The 16,691-nt window shown below is 37.6% G+C and overlaps 1 protein-coding gene across 7 annotated transcripts in view, besides 1 other annotated feature; it reads left to right on the top strand.

Moving 5' to 3' along the window:
- Positions 1 to 16,691, top strand: part of ZNF112 (zinc finger protein 112) — a 40,665-nt gene that overhangs the window by 8,248 nt on the left and 15,726 nt on the right. For 2 of the 7 annotated variants that reach the window (NM_001348285.2, NM_001083335.2), the window contains exons 1-2: positions 2,290 to 2,344; positions 15,668 to 15,716. The exons of 1 other annotated variant lie outside the window; for it this stretch is intronic. Coding sequence is in view for 2 of the 6 variants with exons in the window: in NM_001083335.2 (NP_001076804.1) it covers positions 15,702 to 15,716 (15 nt within the window). In the remaining 4 variants the exon portion in view is untranslated. Of the gene's footprint in view, positions 1 to 2,265; positions 2,345 to 15,667; positions 15,717 to 16,691 lie in introns of those variants that run through there. 4 more of the 7 variants (NM_001348284.2, NM_013380.4, NM_001348281.2 and 1 more) reach the window with 3 other exon arrangements.
- Positions 1,981 to 2,481: an enhancer, noted in NCBI's record as "H3K27ac hESC enhancer chr19:44860641-44861141 (GRCh37/hg19 assembly coordinates)". NCBI's record gives its function as "activates a minimal SCP1, AML or CMV promoter by ChIP-STARR-seq in naive H9 embryonic stem cells {active_cell/tissue: H9 hESC(naive)}" and the evidence as "EXISTENCE:reporter gene assay evidence [ECO:0000049][PMID:30033119]".

The raw sequence follows: 16,691 nt of genomic DNA, 5'->3' as shown, positions 1-16,691 counted from the left end.
ACTGCTGGTTGGCAGGCACAGGATATAGTATATCTCCCTGCCCCCACCACCCCTATACGCTTCTGCTAATAATTGCCCAACACAGAACCAGATTGGGGGTGTGGAGGTCGGGAAAGATTGGCTGCAGATTCCCCCATTCCAGCCCCATAAAGCAGAGTGAAGAATGGTGGGTTTGGAGATGAGACAATATTTATTAAATGCACACATGAATCATTTAGTTGTATTTTTATTGATTTCTAGCCAAATTTCATTGTATTCAAAAGCATATTTAGTATTTCAGTATTTTGAAATCCCGTATCATTTTGCTAATTTGTGCAAATCTTATGTGCACTTGAAAAGATGCGAATTTTAGTTTTTGCTAGAATCTTTTGTTCCCCCAGCTTCATATAGGTGTCAAAAGTGCTGCAGAGCTTCTAGGCTTTTCAGATCCTAAACTAGACCATCATCCCCAGGAGAAAAGTAGCCCCAAATGCATGACTCTCCCAAGTGTTTCTGAATTTTGGCCCACCATTTCTCCATTATCTTGTCTTTTGATGCCTTTTGACATTTAAAAAGTTTGCTCATCTTTCCTCTGCCAGATGTTTGTTCCAAATCACTCATTTTATTATTACTGGAAGTGGAAGTACACAAAGTATTATTCTGTCCCTTTTATTTTTAAAATTTCCTTTCATTTTATAAAAAAAAATCCCCTATTATCAGATTGATCCTCTTTAATATGTAAACCGTATGTATTTTCAGAAACATTTCCTTGGAAAGGAGTTGTTAAATAAAGAATCAAATAGTCTCATCTCTTAATAGTGTCTTTTTTTTTTTCTTTTGAGACGGAGTCTCGCTCTGTTGCCCAGGCTGGAGTGCAGTGGTGCGATCTCGGCTCACTGCAAGCTCCGCCTCCCGGGTTCACGCCATTCTCCTGCCTCAGCCTCCCGAGTAGCTGGGACTACAGGTGCCCGCCACCACGCCCGGCTAATTTTTTGTATTTTTTGTAGAGACGGGGTTTCACCATGTTAGCCAGGATGGTCTCGATCTCCTGACCCCGTGAGCATTTTCACAGATTGGTCGTTATGTCTTTTTATTTTCCTCTTCCTTTTCTGGATTGAGTCAACCCATTCACCGTCCTCCCTGAATCATCCTGTCCTCCATAAGACAACTTACAATATTTGCTATATCAAGAGCAGGGTGAAAATAGGTGATAGATTTTTCTCAAAGAAGAAAAAAATTTCGAGGTTTTACAAGAGACTTATCCCTTCCCATAATAATAACATTTTGTCTGTATCAGTACAGCCCTTCTATTTGCCTTATGACTTGCATTTCATCATCAGTAGTTAAAGCAGAGGAAACGTGGGAACCATTTACTGTTTCTGCTTATGGCCTCATCAACGGTTGCATCTGTTTTTTTGTGGATTCTTGGCATCCACGTTCTTGTGGATCTTGCAACAAACACATTATGGTAGGTAGCAGCAGCACTATCAGTTTCAGACGCGTCCACACCAAAATGGAATAAAAAGGTAATCGAGTCAAAGAAAGGTTGAGATCCTGTATTCCTTAAATTCGGTGTCCAGTACAAATCAGCCCAATTTCCTTTAAGTACCTGCATTTTTAGCGCACACATCGCTTCCATTCTGTAATTCTTTTCTTTTTTCTTCCTGTATTGCAAGCTTCTCTGTTCTCTCCTTTATGGGATATTTTCTTGGTAAGTAGGTAGGTAGGTAGGTAAAGTCCGCTTTGGTTGAGTTTATTTGGGTTTGTGTCGCGTTTGAAGAAAAATAAATTCAAACTCTAGGGGGAAGGCAGTAGAACTGGACTAGCAGTATAAAATTGGATGGCTAACCAAAAGAGAATAGTGACTATACAAATACTGACTATCCAAACGAGAAAGAGACGACTTAAGGGAAAGTGCTACCCTGCAAGAAATTCCGGGAATTGTCCAGAAGATCCACAGGGTCAGAGACACACGCGCCAGGAAAGGCGCCTTTCATGCACGGTCCGCTGGGTAAAACAGAGAAATATATATACGAGCTCTCTGTCTTTGGAAGCATTTCGGTTCCAGGAAGGGGGAGTTAAGGAATTCCTTTGGGACCGGCACATGTGAAATATCATCCAGGCTCTCAGCTTGGCACCCGGTACTTGCGTCCTAGGCAGGCAGATAAGTGGAGAGTTTTTCTAGGAATTCTGGGAAATGTAGTTTGGGAGCCCCGTGTAGTCGGGTAACTTCCGCTCTAGGAGGCTGAGGCCGTCTCCCTGATCCCGTCGGGAATTCTGGGAAGCGTAGTCCAGGAGGTCTCGGTAGGCAGAGCCACTTCCGCCCCAGGTACGCTAGGCCGCGGCCTTCGTTCCTCCCAGAAAGGTGAGCGCTCCCCGCCCTGCTTCCTGCTCCTTCCGTCCATACTGATGTTCGTTTTGTTGGGGTCCAGTAGCAACCGGGCAGTAGCTCTAGGGGAGGATAATCCACTTGCGGCGAAGGGCGGGATTTGTGTTATCTTTGAATGAGCCTTCTCCAGTGTGGGGCAGCTGGCGCATCCCCACTTAGCGCCGGGGGTCCAAGATCCTACATCGCAGGGACTGGGGATCTCCTGGGTTCTGTACTTCCCCAGCCCTTTCCCCTGACCATCAACCAGCTCTGCCACTTCCTAGCAGTATAATAACAGGCGAGTATCTTAATCTCTCTGCCTATGTTTCTTTTTCTTTAAAATGGTACTAGTATCTATCTAATGGAGTTCTTTTGAGAGTTAAATAAAAAGACTTGGAACAGAGCCTGACAGGTGGTAGAAGATGGGTCTCTTGTTATTAGCACTTTTTAATTTTCTGAGAAGGACTCAGTTCCCTGAAAGCTTCTGTGAACCCAGGATGGGGTCAGAGCTCCAGCTGCAGAGTATCCCTGGCCCTTTTCTGATCACTGAGAGATTTTTCTTTAGGACAGGATCACTCCTGGCTGTCTGGGTAGTCCATTGTAATTCATGCAGGAGTTCTGATTTCCCCCATCCTCCTTTCCTTCTTTAGCCTTGACTTCTTGAAAAAGGCTGCAGGGAGAAGGAGGGAATGACCCTTTGGCACTTGGCAGCGGAGTCTCACCTGAGTAGTACTTATCATCCTTTCTTTTCAGGGAAGACGATATTTCCATCATTCACTGGCAAATTCTGCTCGAAGATGCGCTGATATTTGTTCAATAAATGCAGAAACGGATGAGGGAGTACTTGGGCATGAGTAATAAAGATAGTATTTAAACATTTAGTGCTGATCATTCTAAGAGTTTGATATGAATTAACATCTTTAATCCTCACAAGAGCCCTTTGAGCCTGGGTTGGGTACCACCATTCCCATTTTAAAGATAAGCAAACAGACATAGAGCATAGGTGGTTTATCTTTAGGTCACCCAGGTGGTAAGAGCCTGAGCTGGGATTTGAATTCAAATAGTTTCCATCCATTGCCTTAGTTCTTGATGTGTTTAGTATCAGCTTCAGAACACATATTTGGATTTTACTAGAGGACCGTGAAAGCAAGGTTAATAAGCTTTGAATTTTTGATTTTTTAAAATTATCTGTAATTTAATTTTATTTGAAATATTTATAGTTCATATTCTGATTATATAAATTATTGCATATTGTAAAAGATTAAGAAAGTATAGAAAGTGTAAAAGAAAAAAATTATGCTAACCACAAGATATAACAGTAACAATATTAATATTTCAATGTTTTCCTCTTCCAGTAGACTTCTTTTTGGATTTTCACCCATGTTTAACCAAATAGGCTTCATAGCTTTTATTTTTCCCTTAAGTTTTTACTATGGAAATTTGTAAGCATAGCCAAATGTAATATGACTAAAATAATTCTGTGGAAGCGTCACCCAGCTTCAACCTTTGTTAACATTTGCCAGTCTTGTATCAACTCCCTGTCCCTTTTTTTTTTGTTTCAGTATTTTAAAGCAAATCTCTAACATCGACTTAGTATAATATCGTTTGATTGATTGTCATAATTGCCAAACGTTGATGATCATAAATTGCTTATATCCAAGACTTTGAAAGGGAAATGCCAGCAGCTACTCTAAGGTTTTCATTCGTTGAAGCTTACAGAATGGTCCTTACTTGAGGAAGCTAGGGGATGCAAGAGAATTGTACCTTGGAGAAGGATGGTGATGAATTTTGTGTTCCAGTATAGAGTTTGCCTTGCCTAAGTCTTATAGCTCTTTGTTTCTTATTTCTCTTTATCTAAATCCATACACTGAAAGTTCTTCTATTTCTGGGACCATGTCATACTTTTCTCCATGTGCCCAGCACATCGTACAAGGTTGTTAAGGGTTTATGGTTAGAGTAGCTACTCAACAGACAGCTGGCATCAAGGATTTGCAGTGTGGAATTGGAATTAGGTATCAAAATAGAATAGAAATAACCCCTGGATATATTCCTTAATCTCACTTAATATTGGTAGGTTATATAATCCACCAACTATTTCAGAGTATTGAAGAGTTGAAGAGCAATGATTGGTTATGTTTTGATAATCTAAAAAAATTCCTAAGAAACAAATTGTTAGAAATGGTAACAACATTTATAGACCATGCCTTATAACTGAGGTTGTGTTTCCAGGTTTTTAAAACAGGTTTTTAAAAAATGTTTTTACAGTGACATTGACTATTTTGTTATTTTTGGTATACAATTCTATTACAACACAGGCATAGTTTGTATAACGACTACCGTAGTCAGAAAAAGAACAGTTCCATCACCCCAAAAACTCCCCTCATGTCTTCCCTCATAATTACCCCTCACCATACCTGTAACCACTGGCAACTACCATAACCACTAAAACGCTATAGTTTTGTCTTTTTGAGAATGTCGTATAAATGAACTGATGCTATATGTTAACATTTGAGACCGGATTCTTTTACTCAGCAAATTGCTCTTGACATTCATCAAAGTTGTTATACGTATCAATACTTCATTTCTGTTTACTTCTGGTTAACAGAAGTGTCCACTTTATGGATGTATCACAGTTTATCTATTCTCTGGTTGATAGACTTTTTCCTCCACTTTTTGGCATTTATGAATAGAGCTGATATAAACATTCATGTACAGTTTTTTTTGTGCTTATTTCTGTAGGGTACGAAGCCAGGAGTGTGGTTACTGGATCATATGGGGAATGTATGTTTAACTTTATAAGATGCCAAACTGTAGTATCTGTACCATTTTGCATTCTCACTAATGATGTAGAAAGTTCCAGTTTATTTACATCTTCATCAGCACTTAGTATTTTCCTTATTTTTTTTTATTTTAGCCATTCTAAGCATTGTGACTTTAATTTACATTTCCCTAATGGCTAATGGTGTTCAGCAGATATTTCTTTTTTTGTTATTGTTTCTTTGCCATCCTTATATCTTCTTTGCGGAAGTGTCTGTATGCATGCTTTGCCCAGTTTTACATTGGGTTATATTTTTCCTATTGTTGATTTTTGAGAGCTATTTATATATTCTGGATATAAGTCCTTTGTTGGATGTGTGATTTGCAAATATTCCTTCTCAGCCTGTAGCTTGTCTTTTCATTCTCTTAATAGTGTCTTTTGCAGAACAAAATTTCTAATTTTAATTACATCTAATTTATCAATGTTATCTTTTTTGGATTGTGCTTTTGATGTCATATCTAAGAAGTCTGCCTAGCCCCAGGTCGTGAAGATTTTCTCTTGTTCTAGAAGTTTTATGGTTTTACACTTAAATCTGTGATCCATTTTAACTTTTTTTATAATATGTGATGGTTAAGTTGGGTTTTATTTCTTTACATATGAATGACCAACCATCCCAACACCACTTGTTTGGGTTTATTTCTGTACCATGTTCTGCTAAATTGATCTATGTGTGTATCTCTTCACCAGTACCAAGATATCATATTTACTGTAGCTTGATAGTAAATCTTAAGACTGGATAGTTTGATTCTTCCAAATTTATTCTTTTTTTCCAAAATTGCTTTTAGCTATTCTGGTTCCTTTGCCTTTCCATATGCATTTTAGAATCAGCTTATTTATATCTACCAAAAATTCAGCTGGTATTTTCATTGACATTATGTAAAATCAGTAGATCCGTCTTTATCACATTGAGTTTTCCAGTTCATTGATATAACATGTCCCTTCATTTAAGTGTTCTTTAATTTCTTGCATTAGTGTTTCATGATTTTCTGCATACAGATCTATACATGTTTTGTTTAGACATATGCCCGAGTATAATATATAATTTATTCTTCTAGAGCTATTTTAAATCATATTGTTTTAAAATTTTGGTTTCCAGTTGTACATTGTTAGTGTATAGAAATACACCTGATTTTTGTGCATTGACCTTGTATTCTCTGACTTTGCTATACTCACTAGAAATTTTTGTTTTTTGGTAGATTCCTTGGGATTTTCCACAGAGACACATGTTGTGTATTAATAGGGTCAGTTTTATTTCTTCCTTTCTAATCTGTATGCTTTTTATTTCTTTTCCTTGCCTCACTACACTGGCTGATTTTCAGTACAGTGTTGAATAGTTATGTCAAGAGTACACATCTCTGCCTTGTTCCTGATCATAGGGGAAAGCATTTTTATAAGTTCCATTATATTTTTAGTCTGCAAAAGTTCTGTCATGAGTGGATGTTGTATTTTGTCAAATGCTTTTTCTGCTTCACTTTTACTGGAGCTGGTGATTGCTGTGCACTTAAAAGTTTGACAAGTACCTGTAGAACAGCCTTATTTAATTTTTTAACATTTATTTTTTAACTTATCTACTTATAGTAGAAATTTATTCTTTTTGGTGTACATTTCTGAGTTTTGACAATTGCATTGTCATGTAGACTTCACCACCACAATCAAGATTCACAACAGTTCCATCGCCCAGAAACATCCCCTTGTGGTACCTTTTTGTAGTCAAACTCTTCCCCAACTCTTAACCCCAGGAAACCCCTGGTTCACTCCCCAACCCCATTGCCTTTTCCATAACATCACGTGAACAAATCAATGCAGTATGTAGAATTTTGAGTGATTTTTTTCATTTTTCTCTTTGATTTCTCACATCAGTATTTTGTGTTTTGTGTCTTTGAAGGAATTAAACCATTTCATCTATCACTTTGAATTCATTAATGTTAATTCATTTATATTTCTAATGCCTGTTAAGTCCGTAGTGATATCCCTTCTTTCATTCTTGATTTTGGTAATTTGTGTCTTTTCTCTTTTGTTCTTCATCAGGAGTTTAATTTTTACTAATCTTTGCAAAGAACCGCCTGTGGGTTGAATTAATTTTGTCCAGGAGCCAGCAAACCTATTTTTTTAGGCCCAGATTGTAAATATTTTAGTTTTTCCAGTTAACTAGAAATATCAGTACTATTATTTAGGTATTTATATAATGAGAGGAAACTTTAATTGACAAAATTTAAGATATAATGATTGAGTACAACTTAATTGAAGTTCAAGGTTGCTATTCCTTGTCATCAAAATTGACTGTAAATGTTCATCTGTTAATGCTGATTTGTAATGAGATTTTATGTATTTTATCTTTGAAAAGAAATTTTTTAAACAAATAGGTCCTATGAAATACTGATACTAATCCATAAGCAAATGATTTTAATTGTGAATATCAATGAGTTGAAAGATGTGGTAAACTGAATAGTGGCTCCCTAAAGATGTCCATATCCTAATTCCCAGAGCTTATGAATGTTACTTCACATGGTATGAGATATTTACTGGTGTGATTAAACTTAGGGAGTTTAAGATGTGTAGATTATCCTGGATTATCTGGTTGGGCCCAGTGTAATTACAAGGATTCTTATAAGAGAAAAGCAGAAGGATCAAAATTAGAAGAAAGTGACATGATAACAGAAGCAGAAATTGGAGTGCTGCAGCCATAAGCCAAGGAATTCCAGCAGCCTCTAGAAGTTAGAAAAGGCAAGGAAATGGATTCCTATGAGAAGCAACCAGCCCTGCTGACACCTTGACTTTAACCCAAGGAAACTGATTTTAGACTTCTGATCTCCATAACTAATAAAGAATAAATTGCATTATTTTAAGCCACCAAGTTTGTGGTAATTTATTATAGCAGCAATAGAAACTAATACAGAAGACATTTAAAGAATTACTGTAGACTCTTGATATTTACCTTTTAGTATGTCACTACATTTCAGAATAATCACTTTCAATGGAAGGTTAGGAGAATTATGCAGTGTACAATGAAATGGACTTTGAAATGCAGAAAGGTCCTTTGCGCTTGCATCAAGGTCTGAAAACACTGCTACAATTCTGAAGTTTGGGCTCAGATAACATATATACTACAAATTTGTGTGGGAATTGAGATATTACTTGTTTTAACTTTTGACAGCACTGGAAATTTGTAAAGTGGCTTAGCATTACCTGTGATTCAGACATTAACTGTCTTTGAAATAACTTTCCTACACTATAAGCTTCACAAATAAGTACTGTTTTGCCTTTTAATTTTAGGTCGAGTTCATTAAGAAGCATTATCAAGTCTGCAGCTAAAGCTAATTTCCAATGTCATTCAGTATTATATCAATAGTAATGCTTGAGGGAAGTTCTTATTCAGAAATATTTCAGTCTCAGCCCTGAGATTTAAAAAAAATCACAATAAAACTTCATTGCTGCTCAGACATTGAACTCTCATGTGGTAGGGCAAGTCAGAATTTTTCTGTTTCTCATGAAATTCATGCAACTGATGATGGTTAAATCTTTGAGTTTGAATGAAGTTCACTGTTGCCACTAGTGGTTCAATAGCACATGATAGATTAAAATATTCTCTGCAAAGTACCTGCTGATGAAGAATACAATGAGTAACCATAGGCTTTAAATACATGTTTTTATAAATCCAACCTCTGCCTTTTTCTGCTCCAACATATCTTTTACCACTATCAATTTTAACACTTCTTAGCAGATTGTACTGCCTCAGGTTTACTGAATTAGTATTTGTACCTTCTTTGGTAATATTTTCACCTGTGGTTGTTCCATATCGACTGTTCCTAGAGGCTAACCATTCAACCACTCAAACTTGGCATTGATTCCTTGAATACACAATATCTGAGCAACATTAGTAACATCTGTGAAATCAAGAGCCAAATAAATTTATCAGAATCATTTCCCTTGTATTTTAATGGACCATAATGTTGTTCCCATTGTCCTCAACTCTTAGAGCAGTTGGTCTTGCCCAAAGTCTACTAATCATAAACAAATTTATTTTATCTGGATACATTTCTTTGCCTTCTGCAATCAAACATGATTTAATTAATTCATCACTGGTAAATTACTTTCCTTGCTTGGGGCAGAAATAGAAGCTGAATATCTGAATATCAAAATGTACTGTAGTTGCTACCTCATTTTCATTATTTTTTTTGTGAAGAAATTCTGCTCTGATGAGACATTTTATTTAAAATTTTCTAATTTTTCGGACCATTTATTGTGAATTGAGAATATTGTGATGAGTGCTTAGCGTGACAGTGTTGACATAGGTTTGATTAGTTTAGCATAGATACGTTGTCACTGCATAGGAAGCACAATAAGCATGATAAGCTTTGCCATCTAATTCATTCACAAAATATTTCACCTCCATTGTGCCTTCAAAGTGTAACAAAGTCTGTTTTTCTGTTTTTTTTTCTTGTGTTTGGCTTGAAGAGTGTGTATTAGTAATACAAAAATTAAAATGTTGTGGTACAGCAATACATATGTTACTTGAAATGCTGTTCAATTAACAGCATTTAACCCAATTGAGTTAACCTAATGCTGAGTCACAGTGGTTTAAATTGTGCTTAGCAACAATATGAAGAAATGAGAGTGCCACCTATGAACTCTGTTATAACTACATAGCACTGCTGCTGTAATGCAAAAGCAGCCATAGGCCGTACGTAAACAAATGAGCATGGCTGTGTTACAGTAAAACTTTATGGACACTGAAATTTGAGTTTCATGTAATTGTCACATCACAAAATAATCTTTTCAGGATTTTTTTCAACCATTAAAAAGTAAAAGCCGTTCTTAGCTTACATCCTGTACAGAAACAAGCAGTGGGCTGGATTTGGCCCAGCCATATTTTGATAGGCTTGATTTTGTCTAGTGTTTTTGTGTTTTTAATTTCATTGATTTCTGTCTTAGGTTTACTACGTCCTTTTTTTCTGTTTGCCTTTAAGACCTCTTTTCTAATATATGCATCATTGCTATACATTTCCCTATAATATCTGCTTTAGCTGCATCTCTTACATTTTGATATGTTGCATTTAAGTCTTGATTCCATTTAAAATATGCTCTAATTTATTTTCTAAGAAGCATTTCCACTTCACTGCATCTAATTTCTTTTGTGACTAATTTCATTGGTTGCTTAGAAGTATGCTGCTTAATTTCCAAACATTTGGAGATTGTCCAGATATTTTTTCTTGTTCATTTCTACTTTAAATCTGTTATAGTTAGAGAAAATACTTTGATTTGAATTCTTAGGAAATTAAGATTTGTTTTATGAAAAAGATAACATCTGAAGTAAAAAAAAATTATTCGATGGGCTCAGTAGCAGACTGGAGATGACAGAAAAAAGAATCAGTGAACTTGAAGATAGGTTAGTATAAAAATGCAATTTGAGCAACAGAGAGAAAAAAAATTGAAAAATAAATGAGCAGAGCCTTCGGAACCTGTGGGACAATATCAGAAGTCTAATATTCCTGTCTTTGGAGTCTCAGGAGGAGAGGAGAGAAGTGTTTGTTTGGAAGTACTAGCTGAAAATTGCCCAAATTTGGTGAGAGACATAAATTTACAGATTCCAGAAACTCGTTGAATACCAAATACGATAAACTCAGAGAAAATCACTTCTGGATACATCATAATCAAACTTCTGAAAATTAAAAATAAACAAAAATTCTTGAATACAGCTAGAGAAAATGACATATTATATATCTGGTAGAACAATGATTCAGATATACGTGGATTTCTCATGGGAAGCCATGGAGGCCAGAAAACATTGGAAAAACATCTTTAATATTCTTAAAGGAGTTGTCAGTACAAAATTCTATATCCAGTGAAAATGTCCTTCAGGAATGAAATGAAAAAATGCCACATCTGTGCTAAAAGGAGCACTAAAGGAAGTTCTTTAGGCTGAATAGAAATGATATTAAATGGAAACTAGGAACTTCAGAAATGATGAAAGAGCACCAGAAATAGTAAGTTTTTTGGCAAATATAAAATACTGGTTTTCTACTCTTTAAAATATGCATGACTGTTTAAATAAAAATTATAACTTTCTTGGCTAGAGGTTTTTGTGTATATAGAGTAGTATATACAAATGAAACAAAGTGGGGAGATAAAGGAAACTATTTGTTGGTAAGGCATCTGCATTTTACAAAAAGTAGTAAAACAGTAATGCTAAATACACTGTGAAAGATTAGATATGTATATTACAACCCTAGAGCAACCACTGGAAAAAAAAAAAAAGGACATATAGCCAAAAGCTAATAGATACAATGAATGGAATAGTAAAAAAAAAAAAAAAAAAAAATCAACCCAAAAGAAGGCAGAAAAAGGGGTAATAGAGGGACAAAATCAGGGAGGACAAACAGGAAAAAAGATAATAAAATGGTAGACAGAAACCCAGCTATATCAATAATTATAGGAAATGCTAATGGCCTGAATACATCAATTAAAATATATTGTAAGATTGGATAAAAAGCAAGAACCAAGTATATGTGGTCTAAAATAACTCCATTTAAATACAAGGACATAAATAGTTTGAAAGTGAAAAAGTGAAAAGGAGCTGTACTACGGAGTGGCTATATTAATATCAAAGTAGACTTCAGACCAAGGCCAGGGATGCCGAGGGACACCATGCCAAGGGTCAGTTCCCCGAGTAGACATAACAATCCTAAAAGTGTACCTACAAAACAACAGTTACATGAAGAAAAACTGATATAATTAAAAGAAAAAAATAGAGAAACCCACAGTTCTATGTAGAAATCTCAACACTCTTTTATCAGTAATCAGTAGAACAAGAAGACTGAAAACCAGTAAGGATTCAAAAGACCTGAATAATACTATTAACATCTTGACCTCGTTGACATTTGTAGAGCACTCTATCAACAACAGAATGCACATTGTTTTCATGTGCTTCAGGTTTGATTGTTTCTGTTGACCTGTCTTTGAGCTCGCAGATGCTTCTGCTGCTTATTTCTGATCTGTCTTTCCCATTTGGCTACAGATTTCTGTGCAGCGGGAACTGTGTCAAATTCTCCATTTGCTTATTACCAAACGTAGGGATTGGCAGAGAGGAATTATTTGGTAACTCTCTGTGGTTGGTGCAGCTTTCCAGCAGGCAGCAGGAATGGGGACCTTCAACTCAGTGAGAGTATATTCAAATTTTCTGAAAATAGATGTGGGAGAATAAAAGATGTGAATATTCCCTGTCCCTTATCTCTGATCAGTTTTGGTGGGATGCTGAAGCCAATAGATTTTTCAGAATGTTGAAAGGGTGATGTACACCTATATGGTTAATTACTGACCTAAAATAAACATACTTTGCAACAAACCAGAGCTAATGAGCAGCTTCTAGATTTATTTCATAGTGATGATAATGAAGATGGTAGTAACAATGGCTAACATTGATCAGATTTTATTACCACTCACACTGACTTTCTAATATTATGATGCATTGAACTCACATAACATAACATAACAACCCAACGTTTATCTCCATTTTACAGATGAAGAACAGAGGCATTGAGAGGTTAATTAATGTGTGTCAGTTTATGCTGCCAGTAAGTGGTAGAGTCAGGATTGAAGCTTGGCAGCTTGATTCTGTAGCCTGGGCTCTTGGCCAAAGCATTCCGCTTTCATTAGGCTGGCAAAATGGGTTTTAGGAGCTAATGAGGCTTCAGCGAAACCTTCTTAAAGGTATCACAGAGCGGGGCACATACAAGCTCAGTGTTAAAAGCTAAGAGGATCTGTGATGGGAGTGGGCAAATTGCCTGTGGCTTGTTTTTGTGTGTCTCTTCTTCAGCTAAGAATGATTTTTACATTTGAAGGGTTGTGAAAAGAAAGAACAATATTGGACAGAGACAGCATGTGACCCACAAAGCCTGAAATACTCACTATCTGTCCTTTTTATGAAAGCTTTCCAACCCCTGCTCTAAGTGAAAAGAGAAAGGAGTGCAGGAGGGGTGGCACATGCAAGGGCCTGGAGACTCTTTTATGAGATCAAGTGATTGACACGGCTGGAGATCAAAGGGGAGAGAAGATTTGCAGAGAAAATGAGCAGACAGACATGAAAGATTCCTGTGTGGCTTGCTAAGAATCTAGACTTTATCCCAAAGGCAGCTATGCACTTGTTTTAACCAAGAAAGGAACATAATCAGGCTTTAATTCTATCAAACATGAAGAAGCAACAATAGTCTATAGGATGACCACTGTGTGATTTCATATTTAACAGAAATTCCCTTTTCTTTTGAATTCTCAAAGTCCCTTGGCTGATTAGTGACCCCCTGCTTGATAAAGGTGATCAGAGAGGTCTAAACTGGAAGGCTGTCCTCACACGGAGTGCGTGACTGCAGACACCCACAGCGCATGTTACTGCTCCTTCCTCTTAGTGACAGCTCCAAGAACATCATTTAAAAGAGAGAAATGGGGATCTGGGAATCAAGAGGCCTGGCTCCCAGGCCCTTCTCTGTTCCTGGCTTGAGTGTTCTCTGACAATTTTCTTGAGAGGCCAAATGGCCTAGTGGTTAATTGCATGGGCTTATCCTGCAAACTGTCTCTATGTATGTCCTGGTCTGTGGTTTGCAATCCTCTCTGCACACTGTAGTCACCTGGGGGATTTCATAAAAACTCTTCTTCCACAGATCCTCATTTATAGAGCCTGGACTTGGGTCTGGGCATTGGTTTTTTTTAAAGCTCCCCATTGATACCGGTGAGCTGGCAGCTTAAGAGCCACTGTCCTAGTAACTGAGAACACAGACCCTGGACTAATAGTCCTGGCCATTCTGCTAGCTAAAATGACAAAGCAGCTTAAAATATTAATGCCTCAGTATTCTCAACTGTAAAAAGAGTTACAAATTGTCCCAACTTCTTGGGTGGTTGTGGGATTAAGTGAGGGAGTTCCTCTAAAGCATGTGAGTTGGTCTTCTTACATTTTCTGCCTTCTCTCTTGCCCTAGATACCCACTAACTCTCATTCTGTTTCAATAGTCTGATGACTCCTTTCTCTTTGAGTGGCAAATATAGGTCAGTCACCTTCCAACATTAAGATCAGCCCTCATTTTCTCCATCCTCATCCATCCTCCATCATCATGTATGGATTTGAGGGCCCTTCCATGCTCTCTCAAAGGACTCCGTGCACCCTCTACCCTGGCATCTATCTGGGCACTGTATCCCTTTTAGAAGGCAATCCATAAATATTGGATGAGTGAAAGAAAACTCAGCTCTTTTACTGCTGATTACGCAGCCAAGTTCATACTTGTTCTTGGTAGTTGTGCTTACATCCTGTGGATTCTACAGCAGAGGCCAGGTGGGGCAGGAGGGAGCAGGTGCCTACTGGAGTAGTGCACCTCTCTTTGAGGTGGTGCTAGAAGGCTCTGCCTTACCCACAGTTCATTTTCAGTTCCTTTTTTATTTTTTTCAGTTCTTTCTCTTCCACAGATAGCCTTAATGTTGCCTGAGAACAGTAAGTAAAGTAAAGTAACAAACCTTGAGGAAGAACCATGAAATTAAACTCCTGGTGTCCAGTCCTCCCCAGGGTCAAGCACTGAGCTGCTTTTCACAGAGGAGCACACGCAGCCCCACAAACAACCCTGCAGGCTAGGTGTTCTCATCACCAATGAGATTTTGTCATATCTAGACAGAGGATCACATTTTTGTTTAACATGAGAAATGTAGTAGTCTCACAGGTTTCATTAGTCTTTTGTTGTACCCTGTGGGAAGAGGGATGTACCACTGAACTTCCCCTGAGCTCAGGAAGAATATTTACTAGCCACTGCATTTTTCATAAGGGTGGTCTCGATGTATATAGTATATACTGTGGCAACAAAAGTAAGAAGCCAGAGCTACAGACATTCCGAAGTTACGGGTGACTTTCCCGGGACAGAGCAGTAATCTCTGCTGTCCAGATGTCTTACAAAATACATTCGCCAGGGCAATTTTGTGATACAGAATGGTATCTGCATCTCTATAGTTGCAAGGAAGTAGAGATCCCTGGTATAGTTATAATAGGTTTCCTCTATGCACACAGATAATCCTAATAACAATCATATATTGTTGGCACTGTGTGGTCTGGATTTTGCAGATGACAGAACTGAAACATTAGAAAGGTTCATGAATTTAACCATGGTTACTCAGCAAGTATATGGTAGCACCAGGTTTTGAACGTAGACATTTTGTCCCCAGAGTCCACTTTTAACCAGTACATGACATGCCACTACCTCTCCTTTCCCACCTCTCCCAGAATCAGAATGAGCATGCTGGGAGCTGTAAGGCATGTGAGGCTACTGGGTACAGCTGTGCAGGTTGCTCCGTGCATGCGGGCACCCTGCCAGGAGAGCCAAGTGGTAGCTAGAATCCAACCCATGCTACCTGCTCCTTAACGCCGGTGTGTGGCCACATCTGCTGGGGGAAGGGACACCTTTTTCTAATTTGCACAAAGATACGTTTCCCTTTTAATCATGGCTTCTTTCGTATTACCCTGTTCTGCCTTCTCAGGTCTCTGCCTTTCTCTAGAAAAAGAAAGAGAAAAATGACCAAATTCCAGGTGAGCTGGTTTTCATTTATGCCGTTTTACATGTGACCTCATTTTGCAGTGAGTGGACATATCTTTTTCCCCCTTCTTTGCCAAGGGTAAAGAATGACAACAGGCATTTAGTATCATTTATGTATCAGGCTCTTGCTTTTTGTTTTTGTCCTTTTCTAAAATTTCCTTTTAGTTGTAAATGTGTTTTATTATTTATTTCATAAATAATAGTACAAAGAAGAATAGAAATTTTAAAATCCTACACCTTATTACCCTGCTTACAAATCTGTTTTTGTCCATGGTCATTTTTTTAAATATAACTGTTCTTGCATTAATACATAACAATTTTGAATTTTTATCCGCTTAATTTTTAGCAGTTAATTTTTATCATCTAATATTATTGACGTAAACTGTTGTTATCCCTCTCCCCCTTTTCTTTTTCTTTTTCTTTTTTTTTTTTGAGATGGAGTCTCGCTCTGTTGCCCAGGCTGGAATGCAGTGGCATGATCTCGGCTCACTGCACCCTCCACCTCCTGGATTCCAGCAATTCTCTGCCTCAGCCTCCCGAGTAGCTGGGATTACAGGTGCCTGCCACCACACCGAGCTATTTTTTTGTATTTTTAGTAGAGATGGGGTTTCACCATCTTGGCCAGGCTGGTCTTGAACTCCTGACCTCGTGATCTACGTGCCTCAGCCTCCCAAAGTGCTGGGATTACAGGCGTGAGCCACCGTGCCCGGCCCTTTTCTTTAAATTATTTCCAACTCACAAGCTTTTACGTTCCTGAGGATTCTTGCAGTTTTACATTGCAGTATCAGTTTTCCTACAAATAATCTTGACTCAAAAACCAGTGTGAGAGAATTTTGATATTATTTGTCCATAATGTTCTAGAGACTCAAAACTAAAAATATTTTCTCCTAAGTGATGTCTCAGGTGGAATACATAAAATATGATTTTGTCTAACAAGATTATATTGAAGCTAAGGTTGGGGGAAAAAT

The sequence above is a fragment of the Homo sapiens genome, chromosome 19 (assembly GCF_000001405.40).
Source record: "Homo sapiens chromosome 19, GRCh38.p14 Primary Assembly".
Classification (NCBI taxonomy): Eukaryota; Metazoa; Chordata; class Mammalia; order Primates; family Hominidae; genus Homo; species Homo sapiens.
The sequence above is the reverse complement of the archived record's forward strand: the minus strand, read 5'-3'. Positions and strand labels throughout refer to the sequence as shown.